The 23853-nt window shown below is 53.4% G+C and overlaps 1 protein-coding gene across 2 annotated transcripts in view, besides 2 other annotated features; it reads left to right on the forward strand.

Annotated features, from left to right (window-relative positions):
- DAB2IP (DAB2 interacting protein) overlaps positions 1–23853 on the forward strand; it is a 218457-nt gene that overhangs the window by 125696 nt on the left and 68908 nt on the right. For both annotated transcript variants that reach the window (NM_032552.4, NM_001395010.1), the window contains exon 3: positions 6556–6689. In NM_032552.4, coding sequence (NP_115941.2) covers positions 6556–6689 — 134 coding nt within the window. The remainder of the gene's footprint in view (positions 1–6555; positions 6690–23853) is intronic.
- Positions 6698–6777: a silencer, noted in NCBI's record as "silent region_20238". NCBI's record gives its function as "represses an Ori minimal core promoter by ATAC-STARR-seq in GM12878 lymphoblastoid cells {active_cell/tissue: GM12878}" and the evidence as "EXISTENCE:reporter gene assay evidence [ECO:0000049][PMID:35858748]".
- Positions 13839–14638: an enhancer, noted in NCBI's record as "H3K4me1 hESC enhancer chr9:124468887-124469686 (GRCh37/hg19 assembly coordinates)". NCBI's record gives its function as "activates a minimal SCP1, AML or CMV promoter by ChIP-STARR-seq in naive H9 embryonic stem cells {active_cell/tissue: H9 hESC(naive)}" and the evidence as "EXISTENCE:reporter gene assay evidence [ECO:0000049][PMID:30033119]".

Consider the following 23853-nt stretch of genomic DNA (forward strand, 5'->3'; position numbering starts at 1 on the left):
TGAGTCATTCTCCAGCTGGGACTCTCTTTGATGGTGCATACCCTTGAGGGGAGGAGGCCAGAGAAGCCCGGCAGCCTGCTGAGGGTAGAGACCGGGGAACAGGGAAGGGGAGGGCAGGAGGAATGACGCATCTGAAGGATTTGGGCAAAGCCAGAGAATTCCCTGATGCCATTAGTGCCTAGCTTGGGGCGGCCCAGGCACCCTGGCCCTGGCAGCTGCTCTGACTTTATAGAATCATCAAATATCAGCGCTGGAAAGGAGCTTGGTGATCACCCAGTCTAGCCCCTAGTGTTGTAGATGGGAAGACTGTGGCCCAGAAAGAGGAAGTGTGGGCAGACTGGGAGGTTCTTGAAGCGTGGATGCTGAAGATGCAAAGAGCACTGGGCAAGGAGCAGGGGACCCAGGTTCTAATGGCTCCGCCTGGTGACGCTGGGCAGGTCCCACTGCCCTCTGGGCCTCAGATGTCTCCTCAGTGTCACTGGCCTGGCTGCCCTCTGTGGGCCCTCCTGACTCTCACTCTGTGACTCTGGAAGCAGGACCCCCACCACCCCCAGCCCTTTTCTAGTGCCCCCACCAGCCTGCCGCGGTGTCAGGTCGGCCTGCCAGCTCATGCACCCAGCATCTCTCCCCTCCTGGAGCCGAGAGAGGTGGCAGGATCTGGATGGGATCTTCTCCTCCCTTTCCTGTTTATTTAGATGTGCTTTTGGCATTCGGGCAAAGCCCCAGAAAGATATTGAGAGACATGCCTGTCAAAACAGTCTCCCTTCTCCAAGGCTCTCTCTTTGGGGATGGGCCTTAGAAACTGCCATGGGAGGAGCCGGGCCTTGGCGGAGGGAGGGCCCACAGGGTTCTGCCTCCATCCTGAGTACTGTCTTGGGGTTCCCCAGTGGGCAGCTGAGAGCTTAACGGGTGACAAAGTTCTGCCAGGCCCACATGCCCATCTGCAGCAGCCCAGGTCAGTCTGTTGAAAGGGGAGAGGGTGATGAAGACAGGCCTGGAGGAAGAATGCAAGGACAAATAGATGCTGGGCTTGGGGGAAGGAACCCGCCCTTGATTGAGCACCTACTATGTGCTAGGCATGTTGCTCAGTGCTTCGTATTCAGTTGAGAAGCAGTGCCTTTGAGACCATTGGTGACGTGGGGCTCCCGGGTGTCCAGGTGGCGGTGCTGAAATGCAGATCCCTGGTTCCCTAGGGGCTGCCTCCTCGGCTGGGAGTGTGGCACAGACAAGGACAGCACTGGGCAAGGTTCCCCTCCCTGGGGGTGGGAAGCCTCCAGGTCTTCACTGGGAGCCCCTGTGGGACAGCTCTGCACTCAGGGAGTGAGCGGGCCTCCCTTTCTTCCCTCCCGCCTTGGCTTTGGTCCTTGAGGCCTAGTACAGTGCCTGGGGCTGAGTGTGGGGAGGATGATCAGAGCTGTCCATCTGTTTCCCTATATGGGGGAGTCCCCACGCTGCCCATCCCAGGGGCCAGAACTCTCTTGGTTACAGTCCCAGCTCTGCCACTTTCAGCAGGTGACTTAACTTCTCTGAGCCTGCATTCCCCCACCCGGAAATCCAAAACATCCTGAATTCTGAAGCTCTTATCCTCCCAAGGATTCCTGATAACAGGCATTGGGCGCTCCTAGGCATCCTCTCCTAGGGTGGGAGTGATTCGTCAGAACAGAAGCTTGATTGCTGGTAATATATCATCATCATCATGTGGAATTCATTGAAATGAGTGAATGAAGAAATCACGTGTCTTGAATTCTGAAAGGCCTTTGAGACAGTCGTTCAGGACCTTCTGGAGAAGCAGCAGGGTTGTGGGCCAGATGTCAGGATGGTGGTGTAGCTCTACTCCTGGGGTAGTAGAGCTGCTTAAGAACTTGGGTCCTTCCAGCCAAAGACCCCCCAGGCCTCTGACCCCCACTCAAACTGCCCTGTGCTTTGCTCAGTGATATGATGGAAGCCTAGGGCCTAGGGGATCAGCTGGCATAGGAAGGGTGTCCAGATGGGCAATGGGCCATCCACAGAGAGGGGCGGGGGCTACACAGCTATCCACGCCCAGCCGTCAGGGAATGAGCTGGGGGGGTGGCACCAGGCAGCAGCCTTGTGCAGCAGCCTTGTGCAAAAGCCCTGGGGCCTTGGTTGACCTCAGCGTCGTGGCACAGCTGCCTGACAAGTAGATGGGGACATGGGCTGCTTTAATAGAGGCAGAGTGCCCCATCTGGGGAGGGAGCCGCGGGTCCCTGCAGACTGTGTAGGCTGCTTGCTGAGCTTTAGACATCAGTCCTTGCTCCAGTGAATGAAAGCTGAGGCCTCCACCTGAGCAGCCCTGCCTGCCCCGTGCACTTTGGGCATCGGGAGTCTCAGTGAGGTTGCTTTAGGAAAAAAAAAAAGTGCTTGTTTAAGAGAGTTCAAAACTACCAAACTGGATGACATTCTGCGGCTCCAGAATCATTTTGCAAGCATGTTCATTCATGTCCCTGTCCCCCTGCCGGGCGGCCCACAGCCTCCTTGGAGAGCCCAGACTGACTCCCACCCTTGGTTGTCATTTATCCATTTGGGCAAAAAGAGGTGGTGGTGCTCAGCCAACATCAGTATTGGTTGCAATAAACCTACTACTCTGTGTAGTTGCTTAATAGTTACTGTCTTTCTGGCGACATTGTACCTCATTTCATCCTTCCCAGGTCCCATAAAGTAGGTATCATCATCAGTTTATTTTACACATAGGGACACTGAGGTTCAGAGAGGTCCAGTAATCGGCCCACAGCTTGTCTGAATGAAGATTTGAGGCCAAGCGATGTGAGGGGGCTAGAGCTGCCCAGTGGGAATGGTCAGCAAGCGTGGGCTCCTGTGGTCCAGCGCCATCTGCAGGAGAAGTGGGATACAGCCAGGCCTTAGTGGGTGTGGCTAGGGGGTCATAGTCTGTCCCTAGGCAAGGGAGTGATTATGGGGACCACCTATAATCTTTGCAGATGAGCTAGGCCCGACACATGTCACTACAAACGGAGTGTTTTTAACAGTCCTGTACATGTATATGGGAATTGCACATGGCTTTTGTTGAGCACTTACTGTCGGCTACACTCTGAGCCTAGAGCTTTATCAGTTTTTCGTTTTTGTTTTTGTTTTTTGTTTTTTTGAGATGGAATCTTGTTTTGTTGCCCAGGCCGAAGTGCAGTGGCCAAACTTGGCTCACTGCAGCCTCCACCTCCTGGGTTCATGCAATTCTCCTGCCTCAGCCTCCCGAGTAGCTGGGATTACAGGCTCGTGCCACCACGCCCGGCTAATTTTTGTATTTTTAGTAGAGACGGGGTTTTGCCATCTTGGCCAGGCTGGTCTTGAACTCCTGACCTCAGGTGATCCACCCGCCTCAGCCTCCCAAAGTGCTGGGATTACAGGCGTGAGCCACCATGCCTGGCAACTTTATCCACTTTTATCTGCCAATTTAATCCTCACTGCAGCCCCCCACCCACTTCAGAGAGAGGCAAGGGGCCTTAGCTGTCTTCTCTTGCAGTGAGGGGTCTGTGGAGCTGGGTTTGACTTGGTTCTTAGCCACTGGGCTGTCAGTGGGCTCCACTGCGGTCCCGGAAAGTGGGTATCAAGAACCCTGTTTGACTGAATGATTTGCCCACTGCCCCTCAATTAAAGGTTGTCTTGGGTCTAGAATAAGAGTTTCTGACTTGAAGACCAGTCAGCCCCTCTTCCCAAGTTAGGGGCTGTAGCTGCCTCCAGAAATCAAGTCCCAGGAGCTGCCTCTGAAGGGACAGCAGAAAAGGTTTGCCTCCCTTCATCTGGCGAAGAGGGAGAGGACGCCCTTGGCCCTCCACCCCCATGAAGGAGAGCAACAAGCTGTGTGGCTGGGCAGAGCAGAGCAGAGGACTGGAGTCCACGGTCCTTGATTAACCTTGCTTTGTGATCTTGGGGAAGGGCCTTCCCTACTCTGGTCCCCAGTCACCCTGTAATACAGCCTTTGCATCTGAGTCCCCTTCTGGCAGTGGCTTTCCAAGATGATGAGTATTTGTTAAGTCTGTCATATGCAGGGTCCTGAGCTGAGTTCTCTGGGGGACACAGGTCTCTAGGTGGATGTGTGATGTGATCGGTGGGTGGGTCAACGGGAACACTCTCTGTTCCCTGGAAGAATCTCTTTTCCCATGATCTGAGCTCCCTGACCTCTTGAATATCCATATACTGCTCACTCCATAATGTTCATGGCTATCTTGGCCACTGTGTCTAGCACATAATGGCTCTCATTAAGGTGAAAGAGTGAATATGACAGGGTATTAGGAGTCCCCAAGGTCATTGTCAGTTTGGGTGGGGGAGTTACCATTCTGAGTAGGCTTTAAGGAGGAGGCTGCTTGTCAGAGGAACATTAAGTAGAGTCACAGGGGGTGGAGTGGGGAAGAGGAAGTGGCACATGTGCATCAAACCTCCTAGACGGGAGAAAACTTTTTTGTTTAAACTCAGAAATAGGATAAAGCCATCAATATTGCTCCAGAATGAGCTACATAAATTGTGAAACATGCTTCTTTGTTCTTCATACCTCAAGATTGCAAAAATTGTGAAATTTTCATCAGTGTAGAAAATAAAAACCAAGAAAAGGTACAAGCCCATTGGGATAACTTGCTTGACCACAACCCCTGGGAGAAGAGAACCCATCCAAATTAGCCAGGTGCAGCCCCCTCTCCTATAGCTGGCAAGAGGCAGAGTTTGGGAGAGCTCAGAGCTCACGCAGAGGTGCAGGCCTCTGCCTCCATGCCATGTGTCCTGGAGAGCCTAGTGCTCTCCTGACCTGCCACCGTTTGGGGTCCCTCTGCATTAAGCATTGCCTTGTCTATGGGTCATGCCTCTGGAGAAGGGTCCCTCCTGCAGCCCCTAATACCTAAGAGATATTTGTGGCGGCTGATTAGAATACCCTGATGGATAATTCCAGGCTGCAGAGGTGAGAGGCATTTGGACTCCACTGCCTGGGATGGCCTTCTGGTGAGGTATCATTTCAGCTGGGCCTTGAAGGACACGCAGAATCCCAACAGGTGGCCACAGGGGTATGTCTCCTGTGGATATGAATGGCTGAGGAAGGAGGAAAAGGCAGAAGGAGAAAGATAGGAAAAGGGAAATCTTGAAAGCTCTTGAATTAGCCAGGCCCGGAAGCTGGGTGTCCTTGGGTAAGTCACTTTACCTGTCTGAGCAAGCTTCTTCATTTGCAGCAAATGTTTTTCTGTCATTTTCTGTCTGTGCGGGTGACATGAGATGACTTGTACAGCCCATGTTTGACCTTGTCATGTTGAAGATGGACAGATACAGCCCAGGGCCTGTGCCAAACATCCACTGCTCCTCTTGAACACAGAGAGGGCTGCCAAACTGACCCTTTATTTTGTGATGGATGGAATGTGGTATTTGGATTATGTACATTAACCTCAAATTAAATTAATATCCCACTTGCCACCTGGAATTGAGACTGGGGTGGGTGAGCCCCCAGAACACCCCCCTCTTTAGAGGACTCCCCCTCCTCCAGTTTTCCTCTCCCTCAAGCTGCCTGTAGTTTCCAAGCCCGGCAGGACACAGGCTGTGTCCCCTGGGGCCCCCACATCTATCCCGTCACCTGTAAAGGGAAGATTGGTTTGACCTGTGTGTATTGAACGCCTGTCTCCTCTGTCTCTGCCATTAGACCAGGAGCTCTTGGGATGGGGGAGGTGGGGGATTAAGCTCTGTTTTCAGTCAGTGCAACCTGTTAGGTGGATAAATGGCGTGAATAAGGTTCCCCAAATCTTGAAGCTTTTAATGGGGATACTCAGCAAACCCTTCAGCCCCTCGGGCCCCTCCCTGAGCTGAGCACTAGGGATCCCGTCCCGCAAGGTGGTTGTCCTTGCTGGGGTACATACAACGGTTCCGGGGAGGGGCCCCACCCTGACATCAAGCTACTGCCGCTCTGGGAAGGAAAGTCGCCCGGAATCGGGGTCTAAGTGGCCAGGGCACTGCCAGGCGCAGGCCAGCCGGCGCCTCAGCCGACCACGCGCCCGCTCTCATCGGTACCACCGAGGGCTGGAGAGCAGCGACCTCGCAGCGGAGGAAGGCGCTTTGTCAATCCCCGACGGGGTGGGGGGGCGTGGATTCCTCCAGGTGGGTGTGGGGGGTGTGACCTCGCACGGGGAGGACAAGCTCGGAGGCGGCAGGGAGGTGAGCGGGGCGGCCGGCCCTGGCGGTCCCCGGGGGTCTCCGCCCCTCCGCAGCCCCGCCCCCTCGTCCCGGTACTCCCCCTCGCCCCGGCGCCCGGGGGGCTCGGGCAGCCTCGGCCGCGGTCGGCGCGGCTCGGCTCGGCGTCGCCAAGGCAACAGCGGCTTAGGGGGCGGGGGCGACGTGGCGGGCGGGGTGGGCTGGGCCGCGCTGCGCGGGCCGGGCCGTCGGCGCTCGGTCGGCGGGCGGGCGGCGCGGGCCGCGAGCTGCTGGGGCCGAGCCCGAGCCCGGCCCGCCCTCGGCCGCGCGGCCGCCCAGCAAGGGTGCGGGTCCCGCGCGGGTCCCGGCCCGCCGCCGCCGCGCTAACCCCGCCTCCCCTTCCCCCTCTTGTCCCCCCGTGCGCAGGGCTTCCTCAGCCGCCGCCTCAAGGGCTCCATCAAGCGCACCAAGAGCCAGCCCAAGCTGGACCGCAACCACAGCTTCCGCCACATCCTGCCGGGGTTCCGGAGCGCCGCCGCCGCCGCCGCGGACAATGAGAGGTGAGCCCGCCGCCGCCGCCCGGTCCCCCGCGCCGCCGCCCCGGGCTGCGCCCCTGAGGACGCGGGGACAAAGCGCGAGCCCGGCCCGGGGCGAGCCACACGGCGGTGGGGGGACCCCACGCCGCCCGCCGGGAACTTATGGGGCCACCTCGGCCGGACTAGGGGGCCCGAGGGGAGGACCCTGTGCCTCCCTCCGGGGTTAGGTGAGTAGAAGAGAGGAGAGCAGAGGGTGCCCGCGGCGGCCCGGGCGAGGCCGGGCGCGAAGTCCCCTCGCAGGGAAGTCCTGCCTCGCCTGTCCGAGGTGGGCATTGTTTCCCGGGCCGTGCGGTGCCCGAACCGGGGACGGAAGTGGGGCCTCTGCCGCCAGGACCCATCCCCCTGCCTTGGGAGCCCCTGGGTATCAGATACAAAAGGCATTTTCGGCCGGGTTTGGCCGAGACCGGGCGCTGCCCGTGGTGAGGGGAAGGGTGAACATCTGGAGGGGAGGAGCAGGGGGCTGGGCCACTTAGGGGGCACATCTGCTCTAAGTAGGGCGCGTGCTCCACTGGGGGCTGGCGCTAGCAGAGCGGGCAGTGCCCAGGCCCTGAGCTGGGGGCACAGCCTGAGGCTGGGGAGCCAGGGCCATCTCCTCTCCAGCCTAGGCAGCTGCTTCTCTCCTTCCCTCACCTCTCCACTCTCAGGGGTGTCTCCTGCTTTCTGTTTCCTTCTCCTGGGCCAGCCGGGAGCAGGTGTGGAAATTCCGCGGGGAGGTGGCTGGTGGGGCAGAAGGGGAGAGGGAGGAGGAGGTGGTTCAACCTGCCGGGAGACGCTGGCCAGGGAGCAGGCTTCAGCTCGCAAGGGCAAGCCATCCTGTCCTCCAGGGGGCACTGGGCGGACACAGCCTCTCAGGGCCCAGGTCCTCCTCGAGTGGTGCCAGCCACAGGCACCTTTCCACTTAGGCACAGGCATGGTGATGGATTCCAGTGCCAGTTAGAACATGTCCCTGCCCAGCCTGTGGAGGTGAAAGTACGGGCAGGCACCGAGGAGCCTTTTCAGCATTCAGCCCGAACGTCTCAGACCACTGGCATCTGCCTTCGTAGGGCTGTGTCCGTGTTGGCACTCCCTGTAGGGGAGGCGTAGGTAGCATGAAAATGTCTCTCCCCTCCCCCTTGGTTCTAGCGGGCAGAGGAGTACAAGTTACAGCCCAACTCCTGCCCAAGGTTGAGTGACTGTTTAACTGACCCCTAGCATCTTCCTGGAGAGTAACACTTCCACCTCCCAGTAGAATGGCTAGACGTTTAATTTCCATCGTCCCAGAGCCGCGCTCTCCAGTGCATCCTCACCACTGCCTGCAGCTGGTTTCCTGCCCCAGCTGCCAAGCCCAGCCTGAGGCGGGACCCTCAGCCTTTCTCTGATGGCCCTGGTGCCCCAGGGGACCAGGCGTGCCCTGGCAGGAAGATGCAGCCAGGCCAGAGCTCAGCGCTGGGTGCAGTCACTGCGTCTTTGAAAATCTCGCTTCCCATCTTTGTTATTGTCTGGGCGGCAGGCCACCCGGTTTGCTGCCTTCCTCCCTCCACCGGGCCCCTGCCTTCGGCTGTCTTCCCCAGGAACATGCCCTTCTCCGCGCTTTCCTTGGCGGGGGTCAGGACCCTCTGCACCCGCATGCGGGGGCTTGTGTACGTACCCCGTTTTGTGTGCATGTGGTGGTTGTCCGGGGAGCAGGAGAGACAACAGGCAGTCCGGCTTCTGAGTGTGTCTGCTCTCCCGGGAGCAGGCGGCATGCATGTCATGTTTACCTCCTTACAGCGGGAAGCCTGTACCTAGAAGCCGGCAAGTGCTGGCTGGCCACCCTAGCCAGAGGTCGGGGCATGGCCAAGACGACCTCGTGCGGGTCCTGCCCCACTTGGCCTCAGGTCAGCCTTGCCACATGCTGAAGGGGCGCAGAGTGGGGGTTGGGAGTGAAACTACAAGCCTGTTTCTGGAAACAGTAGGAAACGGTAGCGGTTGGAGCAGAATGTCACTGGCAGCGGTGTGGAATTGTCTTATTAATTTTCTATAAACAAAATATGGCTTGGTGGCCTCTCTGGCACAGGAAGGGAGCCTAGATTTCCCATGGACAGGCAGAAAGACTGGGTTTGAAATCTCTCTACCCAGCCTTGGAGCTGAAATAGGCTTTCCCAGGACTGGGGTCTCCTGATTTGCTGCTTTGCTTAGGAACAGATTCGTCGGCTGCTGCTGGGATGGATGGGCAGAAATTTCTCTGGGGCTGTCCCTGGAGTCATCCTATTTGGAGTTCAGTGAGTAAAAACAACTATGGTGACCCCGCCCGCCCCCCAGCTCATGGCCAAACCTGGATGAGTGGAGCAGTGCCTCTCCCTGCTCTGATGTGGTGTGGTTGTGATGTTGAAGGCTGGGAGGGCAGGATGGGCTGTCTTTGGCTTGGTTTAGCAGCAAGGAAGGGTTGTGTCCTGGCTCCATGGGACCCCCACTGGCTGCCATGCCTCTGGCTGGGGAGAGGGTAAGTGCCAAGACGCTAGCCTCAGTGAGTGGGTGGGACACGAGTGGGAAGGACGGTGGGGGCTTCTAGGGTGTCGAGCGGGAGTCCTGGTCCCCATGGCCTTCCCGTGTAGATGAGCGGCACAGGGCACTCTGGGGCGGCCACTTGAGTTCTGACTTTGGATGAATCTATCTGGTTTATATGGCTGCTGAAGAGGCTTTGTTGAATGCTGTCTGCGTGCTCCGCAAGCTGCTGTGTTGGGGAGGTGGTTTTTTTGCGCTGGAATTCTCTCATCTGGAGGTTGGAAACCAGTTGGTTCTGTGCTGGGATTTTTTTGGCTCCCTGGAAAAGGAGTCGGTTTCAGGGGTGGGGATGCCGAACCTGGCTGGTTGGGATTGAGGGTTGCTATCTGGTTGTGAGGCTGGGGTCAGGCCAGGCAGTGCTTGGTTGGCACAGCTGGGCTCTGGGGGCTGGGGGCTGTAGGACAGGCTTGAGCCTTCGGACTTATTCTTCTGAAACGGCCTCAGGGGAGGTTGCCAGCTGGTCTCCACAGTCTCTGGGTCCCTCAGACACTCATTTCTTCTTCAGAAGCTTTGGCAGTAAGCACCAAGGACAGGTGATCATTTCTCCTGGGTAACAAACACATGCTGCTTGGAGCGCTTTCCAGGTGAAAGGTGTGCCGGCAAAAGCATTTTCATTTTGCACACTGGAAATGCTGCTGCTTCATTTACAGGGCTGTTTTAATGTTGGTAAAAGTGATATAGAGGATGTGGTTCTGTCAGCCCAGAGGATAATTTCCAAGTCATTCATTTATTTATTAATGTTACTGAGGAGCTAGGAGGGTCAGTTGGCAATATTATGCTTTCCTCATTCCTTCTCTCTCCTGATGCTGTTTCTGGGTGACTCTAGCCCTCCACACCTGCTGGGAATATGCTTCCTTTGGCATGCTACCTGTCTAAACTTACCACAGTAGTTACTCTAAAGTGTCTGTACCCCCATCAAGCTCTTCCCAGTCATCCTGGTGCGGAGCTTAGCTCATAAATGCAGGCAGCTCTGGGGCAGGTAGGCAAGGCTGCTATGTGTGGAGTTAGGGATCGATTCCCCCTTCCAGAGTATGTGTGTGCTGGCTGGCGTTCCCACACCTGAAAGTTACTAATGGTGGAATTCCAAGTGATAAGGGACTAGGGAAGGAGATACAGTACTTGGATGTTGGGGATGGCAGCTTCCAGGGACCCTCACCTGGACCTGGGTAGGCAGGAATCAATTCTGCCCCTTGTGGTGAGACAGTCCCTGGAGGAGGGAGAGTGAGGAAGGTTGATGAGGAACAGGGGAAATGGAAGTTAGGGTCTATTTTCCTGCTTTAGTTGCTGACAGTAAGTGCAGGCAGGACTGGGCACCCAAGTCTGGTGTTTCTTGCCCTTGTTCCCTCCCCTACTATAGACAGGGAGGGCCTGGTCCTTTTTTTGGGGACTAGTCTGTCTAGTGTGGTGATGTCAAGATGATAGTGCAGTTTAGACAATTGCCAGGAGTCATGGGATGTATGTGATCTTTGGATTTGAAGCCAAGCATTCCTGGGGCAAGTCACGTAACCTTTTGCAGCCTCAGTTTGCTCATCTGCAGAATGGGCATCATGATAATCATGTTGTTGAAGACATTAACATTAATACATTTAGCACACTTTTCATAGAAATTTTCTGGTTCAGTGCTGTTTTCTTAGCATTTAACACTGGGTCTTGCACATTTCTTAAATGTTTCTAAAATTTAATTAAATAATGTGTGAAAGAGGTTAGATTAATATGTCATAGGTTTTCAGTTAATATTGGTAGGGTTAAGTCACCTCGTCTTGGTAAGCCTCAGTTTTCTCATCCACAGTGTGGGAATAATAAGCAATCATGTGGCCTCATCCTGAGGTTCAAGAGATAATAGATGTTGCTGTGCCTGGTAAGGTGATTCGAGCTTAAGATGGGTCATTATTGCCTTAAACTTAAGAAACAGCCATTATTACCTAGAGCACAGGATGTTTTCCTAGGGATTCCTGCTTACACCTGGGAAAGCAAAGCTCTCATGTGTGTTTTAATAATCAGTTTTAAAAGTTCATTGTTCCATCTTCCGTTTGGGTCATACTTGTTTTTAATCATTTAGGCATTTAGGTTATGTCTAGGTTTTCTTTATTAAAAATGACACTGGGATTTAAATCCTTGAATATTTATCTTTGCCTACATTTCTGATTTTTCCCAAAGGATAAAGTCTTAGAAACAGAATTACTAGGTCTAAAAATATGAAGAGTTTGAGATTTTTCTTAGAAAAATGTCACCCACCAAAATCCTGTAATAATTCATACCCCTCCCCAGTGATTTTTGAGAGTGCTTACCTGTTTCCTCACACCCTTCAAAACATTGGATGTCATCATTAAAGCAGTCTTTATCGTTTGGATAGGCAGAAAAAGGGCATTTTTTTGTTATTTGCATTCATTTGCTTGTTGGTGATCGAATAGTGCTTTCCTGAGTTTCATGGCCAGTGGCAGTGCTTCTTTTGAGACTTGTCTATTCCTGTCCTTTGCCTGAGTGTTCTGACAAGCCTCTTGCAGGATTCTTGGTTGCCCTGTTTGGTCTTCCTCAGCTCTGAGAGGTCCCATGTAGGTGGATCCTACACGTTAAATGAGCCTCTGCCTTCCAAGAGGTATGACAAGGAATTCATTAATTACCTGTAAGGAAGGCTCACCTGGCTGTCCTCTCCTCCTCCCCCTCCCTTCTTCTTTCCACCTTCCTCCCGTCCTCTCCTCTCCATAAGGAAATCAGGTTTAATTCCTAATCCTATCATTCATAAGGATGCCCTGTATTTACACAGCACTTTAAGAGGTCTTCTGCCCTGTAGGGTAGGTAGGCAGTGAAAGGGCTGCTCTATGGCCAGGAAAACTGAGGCACACAGTCAAAGGCATGGAGCTGGGGCCTATGCAGAAGCCAGGCATTGGAACCAGATCCCCTCTCAACTGCAGCATTGTACTTGAGCCCCATGGGCACCTTTGGGGGCAGGGCTGACCGGCCCAGGAGCACATGATTCTGAGTCTCATCTCTAGAGAGGAAGGGGAGAGCCACAGAATACGACCTGGACGTATAGAAGAATCAATTTATTTTTTGCTTTCTCATTTTTATTACTCTCCTTTAGATCTGGAGCTCCCTTGTGTACCTTCCCAAGATCTGAGCTGGGCAATGTTTTTAGGAACGGTGGAAATTAGCTAGTGAGAATGGGATCAGCAAGGCTGGGGTTTCAAAGGCTGGAGAAGCCTTTCTTTGCACAAGCATATGTTTGTCTGTGTACGTCTTTTGTATGTGTTGCAAGTGTGCACCTGTCCTCATGAAGATGTGTGTACATTATATGTTAATGTCCTTATACATGTCTGTGCATTTAATTGAGTTAATACAGGTGAAGTATTTGGAACAGTGCCTGGTACATCATATGGGGTGAGACTGTATAAAGTTGCTGTTTTGGGAGGCCAAATACAGGCAATTGCATATGATTCAATCTATGTGTTCAGGTTAAGTGTTGGCTACTATTGTTATTATCGTGTGTTTTCTTCTTGGGTATGCATCTGCCAGTTGTTTGTACATGTCTGTGTACGTATACCCTGTTGTGCCCATGTGTATAGTGTGTTCTGTGAGCACTCACGTGCATACTTGTGTGCATGTGTGCACTTTCTGTCTGGGTGCATGGACACTGAGCTGGCCGGTGTGTGAATAAGCTCCCCACCTTCTTGGGGAGAACTTCCCAGAGAGCAACTCTTTGCCTCCCCTCTCACCTTCGGTTACCAGGCAGAGCCCAGGCCCAGGTGCCAGGCCTGACAGGTGCCATGGGACTGCTTTCATTCTCCTCCAGGTAGCCCTGCCTATTTCCAGGCCCCATATTAGAATATGCAAATCGACTCTTTAATGGAATTCCTTTGCAAAATATTACTTGAACCAGTAAGTTAATTACCAGGCTCTAATTAATGGCTATTTTAGAAGGCCACAGAACAAAACTGGAGGAGATCATAAGAGACCAAAAAGGCAAGAGGGAAAAGCATCCAGCTCCCCCAGTCGGCTTGGTGACTCCTTCCAGGGTGGCAGGGTGTGCTTAGCTTCTCTCTGCTCTGAGCTGCCAGTCCGCTCCCTTGTGATGATTGGCTGTAGGTGAGTGAATGCTCCCCTTGCACGAAGAACCTCTGGTGGTTCTAGTCTCTTGGCCATCAGTGCATCCATCTGCGAGGTGTGTCCAGGGCAGCATCTGCCTGGGGATGGGGTGAGAATGTGTGGATAGCAAGCCTGGGCTGAGGTGGGGCTGCACCAACCTCAGAGCAGCCGGGTGACATGCCCAAGGCTTGGGCTGTGGGAGGGACAGTCACTGGCCACTCTGTTTTCCCACCCCTCCAGGGGCCTGTGGGCTATCGCTGCAGGGAAGCCACCCCCCAGTCAGAGCCTGGGAGCCTGAGGCAGCTTCTCACAGCCAACTCTCCACCAAGGGCCCAACTCCCTCCCCTCCACTTCTCTCTGAGTTCGCGGTGGAGTCACCTGTGGCCCATGTGTGATGTGAGAGCTTGCTTGCACACCCCTTCCTTGGGCTCTTGGTCAGGCCCTGCCTCTGTGTGACTATGGGCAAGCCGTGGTTCCTCTCTGCCCCTCCTTCCACTCATCCATCAAGAGGAGTGATTGTACCTGCCCACCTACCTCAAAGGGCTGGCTGGAAACTCGCAGGAGATTTTAGTGATGGAAATGATAGGGGAGTTTCCCCTCCCAGCTGGGGCATGCCTGTGTTACCATCCCCTCCTGAGATAGAGGTCGTCTCTGTCCTCTGTGAGCATGTGGCTGTCCTCCCTTGTGTATACAGGCCATGCCACCTACCACCTGGGCATGCACACATGCACGTCCTTGTGGAAGCCACCAGCGTGCAGCAGATATCCCCTCTGGGCCACAGGGGCGATGGGGTGAAAACCTACGGGAGGGAGAGGGAAACAGGGTCCATCCCCACCCACAAAGGTTCCTGGCACCCTGCCTGAGAATTGGGGGAGGGGTAAGAAGTGATCCCAAGGCTGGAGGTCAGGCCCCATCTTGAGGGTTGCCCAAGGAGTAAGACCTCCCTTCCTCCCCTCCCTGTGTTGGCTTAGGAGGCCTGCGTTCTGCAGACCCCTAGGGTTATCCCCTTGTAGACCTCAGCTGATGACAGTGCCTTGGCGGTGGGCTGCTTGGAGGCACTAACAGAGCACTTTGCGCCCTGTGCCAGAGGCATTTAGAGTTGGCCTGTGAATAACTGAGTGTGCTTAAATTTTTTAAGAGGGATGGACTGACTGGTGGGCAGCCTGAGACTGTACTTTTTAGAGGTTGCGCAAAAGGCAGCCTGAGAAGGTTTTTGCCACCTCCACCCTTCTGCCGCCCCCCTCAGTTTTCCCATCTCTCAGGTGGGGCTAGTGGTACATTACTGCATCAGATGCTCTGCCGAGTGAGTTACTCCTTAGCACAATGAGATCCCACCTCCACTTTTCAGTGGGCAGCCCCCACGGGGGACCAGAGCAGCCCTTCTCCCTACTGTCCCAGTTAACCATCACCTCCTGCCTGTCGCCCTAACTTTTCTGGAACAAGCAGGGCCCTTGTTTTCAGGCTGGGCCTGATTGTAAAAGAGTGCACTGGGGAGAGATAGAGATGGCACCAGGGTAGCATGGGCCCTAATTTGATGCGACGTTGTCATGGGAAGTTTTCATACCAAGGGCAGTGAATTAGTGTAGTGTCTCCCTGTGCCCAATGACTAAGGGGAAGTTAATTTCATGCTCTGCCTTTTTGACATTCATAATCAGAACGTTGTATTGCAGCTGCAGATTGTTAGCAGGTGAAGGATGTGTGAGCCTCAACAATTACTGTTTCTGGCTTGGGAGGAGATTGATTAATAGATTGTTCCCAGCCCCACCCCCTCTGCTTCTTACTCCCGTTTGTGCTTTCTTTCCCTCTTTCCAACTTCACCACATTTCGTCAGGAAACTAAGTGGCTATGACTAAATCCCTACTCTTGTACTAGAAACCCAGGGCAGAGGAGGACCTGTATGAGGAGGAATTGCCTAGGACACCTGATAAAATGCAGATTCTTGGACTCCACCCCAGACCTTCTGAATTATACCCTCTGGGTGGGGTGGTCTTGCTTCCCCAAAGTTTGCTCCTTTTGCAGAGGGGCAGGCATTGTGCCCCAGCTGTGTGCTAGTGACTTGCCTAAGCACTTCCTGTGCTGTATTCTTACTGATTTCTCATAGCAAGAGGGCTTTTTGTTTCCCATTTCACAGGTGTAGAAACTGAAACCCGATGTGTGAGTGGCCCAAAGTCACACACTGGAGGAAACCCAGTAACCAGGCAAGTCCATTCCCTGGTTGATGTCAAGATCCCACCAGTAGCATGTCATGTCCTTTCTCATTAAGGCTGTGATGCCTTTTGAAATAAACCCTCTCCCTCCTCAGAGAAGTAGCAGTAGCCCCCTTCTGTGCTTGCACTAGGCTCCCATTGTGAAAAGCTCCTGCACACCAGTGCCCTGGGTCTCCTGAGGGTGCTTGGAACAGTCAGGGCATTCATGACTGATCTGCATTTTGCAGCTGTGGTGGGTGACGCTCAGAGAGGTGAAGGGGCAGAGGCAAGGGGAGCTGGAACTTGTCTCCTAACTCCAGGTCCAGTGCTCAGCCCACCTGTGCCACCAAGGCCTGCTCTTCTCACTGACTTCCTGGTTGCAGGTGGGGAAACTGAGGTTCAGGGAAGTGTACCCATTTACTTAGGATTGAGCGAGCAGCAGTAATGCAATTCAAGGTCCGCCAAGTCAAATTCCACAGGACAGGACTAGTCAGCATTTTAGGAGTGGATCTTGTACCCTTGGCTCCCGCCTGAGAATGGAAGTCTTCCAGACCCCTTGGAAGGTCTCGGCTCAGGGAAGAGAATGACTGTCTTTGGAGAGACTAGGCCAGGTGGGGTGGGCTGCACTCCCAACTAAGGAGGCCAGGCACCTGCTAGGGTAGTGGGAGGTGATGGGGGATCTGCGCCTGTGAGGTGGGCAGCTGGAATCTGAACCTAGGGCTGCCTTACTCTAAAACCCCGTCCCCCACACCGCCAGTTGCCATGGAGGTTAATAGCAGGCGTTCCTGAGTCAGTCTCCCAGAGCTGGTCCAAGGCCCAGCTCCACCAACTGCTTCCCTCTGAGCTTGAGATTCTCTATTTCAGTAAAGCAAAAACAAAAACAGAAACTAGTGTCTCGGGGCCCAGGATTCCTGGCACAGGGCTGGCCCAGTCTTTCCTGGGCTTTGGTTTACTGCATTCAGGTCATGAAGCCCCTGGAGCTGCTGGAGAATGGAGCCATCGTAGCGGGGCGGGGGACGGAGATGCCTTTCATCCTGCTCTGTTCATGGCAAGCTGCTTCTGATGCTGTGATAGCCCCACCCACTGCCCCACCCACTGCCCGTGAGTGGCCACTCAGGATGGGCCAGGCTCTGTGCCTGGTGCTTTCTCGTGCATTTGCTCAGCTCATTCTTACTATAGCCCTTTGAAGGATACGTGCTATTACTGTCCCCATTTTACAGAGAAGAAAATTGAGTCACAGAGAGACTGAGCAGCTTGTTGAAGTCCTACAGCTCATAAGTGGCAGAGCTGGGTTTCAAACCCAGGCGGTTGGCTTTATTATGTAAGGCCCCCTGTCAAGCACCGTTCTACATAGCCTGTGCTCATGTGCTCTGTTTCACATTACATGTTCTGTCAGTGATCACACTGATAAACCACCTGGTCACTTAAGAAGCACCCGTGTGGCAGGCATTATGCATGGTATGTGCATCATCTCTGATTTTCTTGACTACCCTCATTTTATCCTTCCCCCATTTTACAGGTGAGGAAACTGGCCTTAGAGTATAAAATCACATAGCCAGGATTAGCCTCAGGTTACCTTTAGAATCTAGATCTCTTTGTATCCACAGCCAGGGCCCTCTCTAGTATATTAGCTGACATGGCTGGGCACATCCTATGCGCCAGGCCCTGCTCTCTACACTTCACTGAGCTGAACTCACTTCACCCTCACAGCAGCCCGTGAGATATATACTGTTGCAGTCCCTGGTTCACAGCCAAGGAAGCGTGAGTTGCATGGCCAGAAATGGCAGAGCTGGGATTAAACCCAAGCCGTCTGGCTCCCACATCAGTGTTTTTAACCACCCCACAGTACTGCCCTCTCCCTATCTTACAGGTGAGGAATTTGAGGTTCCAAGAGGTAAAAGTCACTTGCCCTGAGTCGGACAGCAGGTGAGTGGCATAGACAGGATTTGCATCCAGGTCTTTCTAGAATGTTTTTCTGTCTCCCAGGTGAGAGAATGTGGCTGCTGCCAGGCGGTTTGGAAGTATGTCCCAAGGGCACCCGGGGCTCTGCTGGGGGCTGCTGTGGGTGCCCAAGTCCTGAGGTGGTAGGGGTGGCAGTGGAGGCAGGCCTTAAGAAAGAGTCATCAGGATGTGAGGGCAGGCTCGGCTCAGTGACTGCCCCTCCTATTTGCAACTTATCACTTATTCTCAAGCGTCTTTTTCTGTGGCTCCCCCAGGGTTCTGGGCTCCCACACCTCTTTTCACCTGGGCAGAGCTGATGAGCTGTGGCTGCGTTTGGATCTGTTGACTTATAATGCTGGGTGAGGTGGGGCAGGTACAAGAAGGGGTCGTGGCTAGGCTAAGTGGCCTTCCATAGCACTTCCCTTCCTCCAAGGTCAGAAGAACATAGAGGTGACTTCCATCACTACCCAGGAGGGTGAAGGCAAACAGGGTGATGATGATGGTGGCCAGGGACTCCCCCACCAGCCTCTGCTCAGGATCTGTGGGAAGATGGGTGAAGCTGGCGCTGAAATCCCCAGCCACCCCAGGCAGTACTACAGCAGACTCACCAAGGGAGTTGCCTATTGTGCTGCAGGCCACACTGCCCTGGTGTCACCACCTTCTGTGGACTGGATGTGACGTAGGGAAGTGGTAGTGCCAGGGCCAGATGTTCTGCCCGGAGCCCATCCAGCCTGCCTGAGGTGGTCTTGCTCAGTTGCCCTAGGATCATAAAGTCCACGAATTTGATGGTTGTTTATGAGGATAGTGAAAACCTATTCCAGAGAGTTTCAGAATTAAGGAAAAATGGAGCTGGCAGAGAACTTAGTCTTAGAGTCTGTACAAGCCAGGGGTGCACTTGAAAGGCCTTGTTGTCTTTCGTACCTCTGCTGCTTATTGTTCAGAGCACCCATAGGAGTGTTTTCCCGAACTGGGTTCCATGGAACACATTCTTAAAGATGTTAATGGGCGTTTGCGATGAGAGAATTCCATAGTCCAAACAGGACTGGGGAGCAGTCTGTCCAGAGTTTCTCAAACTCAGTGTCAGAGGTTCTTGGAGGTGAGACTTGATGTTTTACTCCAGTGGGGTGATTGTGTGCTCAAATACATTTTACATCCTCAAATTTTGCTTCCTCATTCTTGGGAAATCATTTGTGACCCAGGAGATGAAAGGCCCTGAGAGGTCCTGCAATGAAGAAGTCAGTTTTGCTTTGTTTAATCCAGGGTTTCCTGTCCCCCAACCCCAGGAGCAGCTGTTAACATCTGTGGAGCAGTTGTATTTTGCAGAACATTATTTGGTAAACATTCTTTTGAGGTGTTATGTCTCCTCAGAAGCATGTTTTGGAGGAAACTCTGGAAGTGTTCCCTGCCCTTAGTACCTGCAGGAGTAAGCCTTGAATGATGGCATTGCTGGCTCAGCAACAGGTAGTGGGTCATATGTATTTGAAAAAAGTCATCCTAGGTCCTCAATATCATTCCTCAAAGCAGCTACCAGCTCTCCTGTGTGTGGGATGGGGCCTGGCTCTGGTCAGAGAGCCCTCTGTGGGGAGGTGGTTTGTCTGGGACCAGCCTAGGCCTAGGGTGTAGGGGTTTATTCCCCTTTTTGCAGGCTGGGTGGCGTCCATGTACCTGGCAGCTTGGGCTCTGGGCCTCCCCATCCCCCTCTAGACTCCCTCTGCAGAAGGCAGTGGTCAGGCAGAGGCTGCCCACAGATTTGCATAATTGCACCGTCTCCTGAATAATTAATAAAGCTCTGTCCTTGCTGGGAGCAAAGTCTGCACCGTTATGGATGGGTTTGCCATGGATAGGTTTGCCGGAGCTCTTCCAGGGGAGCCGATGGTTCCTGGACTCCTCTGCTTTTCCTGGCATGGAGCCCCCAGAGAGAGGAGAGGGCACTGGGTTGGGGGCTGGCTCTGGTGTGTCCACATGGCTCCCATAGCATGATAAAGGGCAGGTGAGGGGTAGTGTGTGCTTTCTTCCAGGATCCACACATGGGTTTTCTAGCACACAGATGGTTTAGGATTCTTATTCTTCTTGCTTTCTGTGGTCCCACTAACCCTTTTTCTCTGAAGTGTGATCAGCTGTTGTGGGGCTTAGCCCTCTTTTCTGGCAGCCCAAAGGGAGCAATGCTTATGCAGCAGGTAAGAGCAATGAGGGCCAGTTTTCAGACAAGTAGGGGAGGGGGAGGTGTTTCTGCTTGGGGCCCTTCTTCAATCCCTCCCAGTTTCTGGGCTTGTTAAAGTTGGAGGTAGCCTGGGAGTGATTCCTATTTGAGATTTCTAAATCCCTTTTGATGGTGTTTCATTGACGTGAATTTTCCCTCTGACGCATGGCCTTGTCTCCCTTTCATGCTAGAAAGGAGAGTAAGGGGTGGGCCTGCCCCCAACATGTGGTTGACATTGGGGAAAGTCCTAGAGTCTCGCCACGCCATGAGTACTCTTGAAAGGCCTTGCTCCAAACCTTCTGTAGGAGTATTTCTTAAATGGGTTCTACTGAACATATTCTTACAGATGTTAATGGGTACTTGGGATGAGGGAATTCCACAGTCCAAACAGGTCCAGTGAACCAAGTCAGTCAGTTTCTTTAATGCATGGCTCCTTAGAGGCTTTAATGTGCCAGCGTGTGTCTGAGCCCCTGGGAGGGCGTACAGGATGCTCTGCTTCCCATCCACACCGGCACTCCAGAGTGTTGGCACATCTCCAGCAATGGGGAGCTCTTTCCACCTGGAGCGGCCCCTGCCCTTGGAGGACAGTGCCAACTCTTGTAAACTTCCCCCTTTGTGGAGCTTCCCCAGGCAGCATTTATGTGGCACCTTGTCATTCCCCACATGGCCCTCACACCAGCTAGGAAGGTGGCAGGGCAGGGATTATTCCATTTTATAGATAAGGTAACTGAGGCCCAGAGCGGGTAATTGTCTCACCCAGGGGCACATAGAGTTGATATTTAAACCCACGTCTGCCAGCTGGGCCTTCAGCTCTTTCCTCTTGGCCACCAAGAAACCATTTGCTCCCTGGATAGATGTCAGTATGTTGGCTGGGGTGGGGCCTTAGGACCTGTTGCTCTGACAGTGCCCTTCCCAGCTTGCTTGGAGTGTCTAGAGGGTGGAGGCAGGAGTGAGTGAAAGCCTTCCTTCAGGGTTTCCAAGCTGTGGGGCCTGGCTTTGGAGCCATTTGTAGACAGGGGCCTAAAACCGCCAGATGCCTGCTTATCACACCATTCCCGACTCTCACCCTTTTCCTTCTCCTGCCCTCTTGTTGTAGGGTGGGAATGTTTGAGGTGCCCCAGAAACTGGGTATGCACTCAACTTTGGCCAGTAGTGGTGGTGCAGGGGTGAAGGAGCAGGGCAGGGGGTTCCAGCTGGCTTGTCTTTCTCCAGGCCTTCCTGAGAGTTACTGGACAAGCTTGGTGGATGGCCAGGGGAGCCTGGGGTGAATTTGTTCACAGCAGCTGGGCTTAGAGGCTGCACCGGGGCTGAGATGTGACTTCAGGACTCAGGCCAACTGTTTTATATCTCAAAAATCTTGGGTTATACCATACACCATGAAAGGTACTGCATTGCCACACCTGACACTTCCATTCTGGTCCCAAAGCAAGCCACACGGGGGCTCTCTGATGAACAGAATCCTGCTCTGCTGACACATGGACCCAGATCCAGATCCGACGCCCTGACTTCCTCCATGATCTGGGACAAGTCACCTAATCTCTGAACCTCTGTCTCCTCATTTTTAAATGGGCACCATGATTGTGGTGCCTACCTCCCAGGGTTTTGAGGTCTACATGGGATCATGTTACATGGTAATTTGATCATATTCTGTCATCACACACATGTACTCACATTCTCACACACCATGCTTTTGCTTTTTTGTTTGAGATCCCACAACCTGCCAGCACATCCAACCCAGTCTTCCCAGGGTCCACCTCATCATATATATAGCAAGAGATGGCCCAAGACACATGAAGTGATGTTTGTGCTGACATTTCTCCCACTTAGAAAATCAATATTCTGTGGTCTGCCTAATTGCTCTGTTGCTGCTAAATGAGTCATTATGGAGGGAAAATAGCAAATGCATTGTGAGATTAATGGGAGAAAATGGTTGGCAAATGACTTTGGTTTGCTTCGGAAACTCTGAGAAGGTGTTACTACGTGAAATCTGCAGAGCCATGCAAGGCCGAGTCCTGAGCAGCAGGGAGACAGGCAGGCAGCTATTGGCGCTGTGAGCCTCCCTTTTAGGGCGGGGCACCGATTCAAATATTATAGAGGCTGGACTCAGGAGTTACTGAGTGATGAAGTCAGGAGCCAACAATGGGACAGGTGCTCTGACAACCTGGTCTCAAAGAAGAGGATACTCTTCAGTTAGAGCCAGTTACATGCCAGGCATGGTGCTAAGCTGAGGGATGTAATGGTGAGCAAAACCAGCCCCAGCTCCTCCCCTAGTGGAGGACACAGGCTGAAGTGCAATTGTCCTACAGGTGACTGTGTAATTGCAATTAAGGCATGTGTCCTGAAGGCAGTGAGAGCCCAGATCTGAAGGGTTTCATCTGGTGGGGGTGGTGGGGAGGGCCTCCCCGATGACAAAAGGAGTAAGCTGAGCTCTCAGGGAAGAACCTTCTGGGCAGTGGGAGAACTCGTGCAGTCCTGTTGGGTCTTATAGGAGGGGCTGCCACGGGACTTGTATGGCCTTAACCCTCCAGCCATCCTAAGAAGTGGATATTTCTCGTTTCACAAGCGAGGAAACCAGGACTGAAGGTGGTTAAGAGACTTGCCAGAGGTCATAGAACCCTTAAATGGCAGAGTCCAGATTTGAACATGGGGAACCCATGCCAAGGGGCATGCCCCGTTGCTCCAGGGAGCTGGCCTTGGCACTTGCTGCCCTGAGGGTGTCTCTTTAGCTAGGGTTAAGGACCTTGCTCCTGCAGGGCAGGGGGCTTCATGGTGGTTGCCTGAGAGTCTTTAGAGAGAGGGTTATAGGACTCTAGAAAGGGGGAACCCTCAACAGCCACAGCCAGGCCTCTTTGCTTTCTTGGGTCTTTGCTTCCTTTTAATGACAGCGTGACTTGGGTAGTTTTCTTTTTCTTTTTCTTTCTTTCTTTTTTTTTTTTTTGAGACAGAGTCTTTCTCGGTAGCCCAGGCTGGAGTGGAGTGCAGTGGCAGGATCTCGGCTCACTGCAAGCTCCGCCTCCCAGGTTCACACCATTCTTCTGCCTCAGCCTCCCGAGTAGCTGGGACTACAGGCACCTACCACCACACCCGGCTAATTTTTTTGTATTTTTAGTACAGACAGGGTTTCACTGTGTTAGCCAGGATGGTGTCGATCTCCTGACCTCGTGATCTGCCTGCCTCGGCCTCCCAAAGTGCTGGGATTACAGGCCTGAGCCACTGCACCCGGCCATGACTTGGGTAGTTTTCTGATGATCAAAATGCCAGGTCAACTAGTGACTCCTCTTTCAAAAGGCTCTGTAAATAACACACTTCTCTCCCCATGAAATGGGTTGGTTTATTCCCTGCCTCTAATCCCAGCTGGACTGTCATCAGGTAGGGCCTATCAGTTGTCTGCAGAGGTGGGTGGAGGTATGGTCACCTGAAGGTGCTTCTAAGGAAGGTGCTTGTGAGTTCTTGTAAACTTCCCAAGGTTTCAGGAGTGGCAGCAGCAGATAAGGAGAGTCCAGGCATTTCCTGTGGGCATTATGAAGGAGCACCAGAGGCATCCCACTTTGTCTTGGTGCCTGGTTGTAGCTGAGCATCATAGTGCCATGAGAACCTGGTAAAAAGATTCTGGAGCCCCACCCTGGGAGGGTCAGGGTCACAGGTCTAAGGGGGGCTCTGGAATCTGTATTCCTGACAAGCCCCAGGTGATTCTGAGACCCACTCAAGTGTTGAGATCCCCAGTTAGCAGCTCTGGATTCTTCCGTCTCTGAGAGGGTCACAGGCCTCCAAGGGATGGTGGTAGTGGAGTATACTTTTATCTTCCTGGGCTGGATGTAACACTGCCTGCTGCCAGCTCAGGAAGCCAGGCCACACTGTGCCCATAGGGCCACATGTAAGGCAGAGCCTGGTGCTCAGCTGAACCCCAGGTGAGGCAGGAACTTGGCCTGGGATGCTTTGCTACTGCTATTGTCCGGAAACTGAGTTTCATCCCAAACTTAGGTCTGACTGGCTGTGCCCTGTCCCTTGCGAAATATAAACTGCAGCCCTTCCTGGCGAGAGGCTAAGTGTTTATGTGGGCTGGTTGCAGAGCCCAGCTCTTTGTCCTGCTCAGGTTCCATTTCCAAAATAATTCTGCTTAGTTCTTCACATAAACAGCAGGGCCCTTAGAGACTGGCCCTGAGAGTATAGAGGGGATCCATCCCCGTCCCAGCAC

Source organism: Homo sapiens, chromosome 9 (assembly GCF_000001405.40).
Source record: "Homo sapiens chromosome 9, GRCh38.p14 Primary Assembly".
In the NCBI taxonomy this organism is placed as follows: domain Eukaryota; kingdom Metazoa; phylum Chordata; class Mammalia; order Primates; family Hominidae; genus Homo; species Homo sapiens.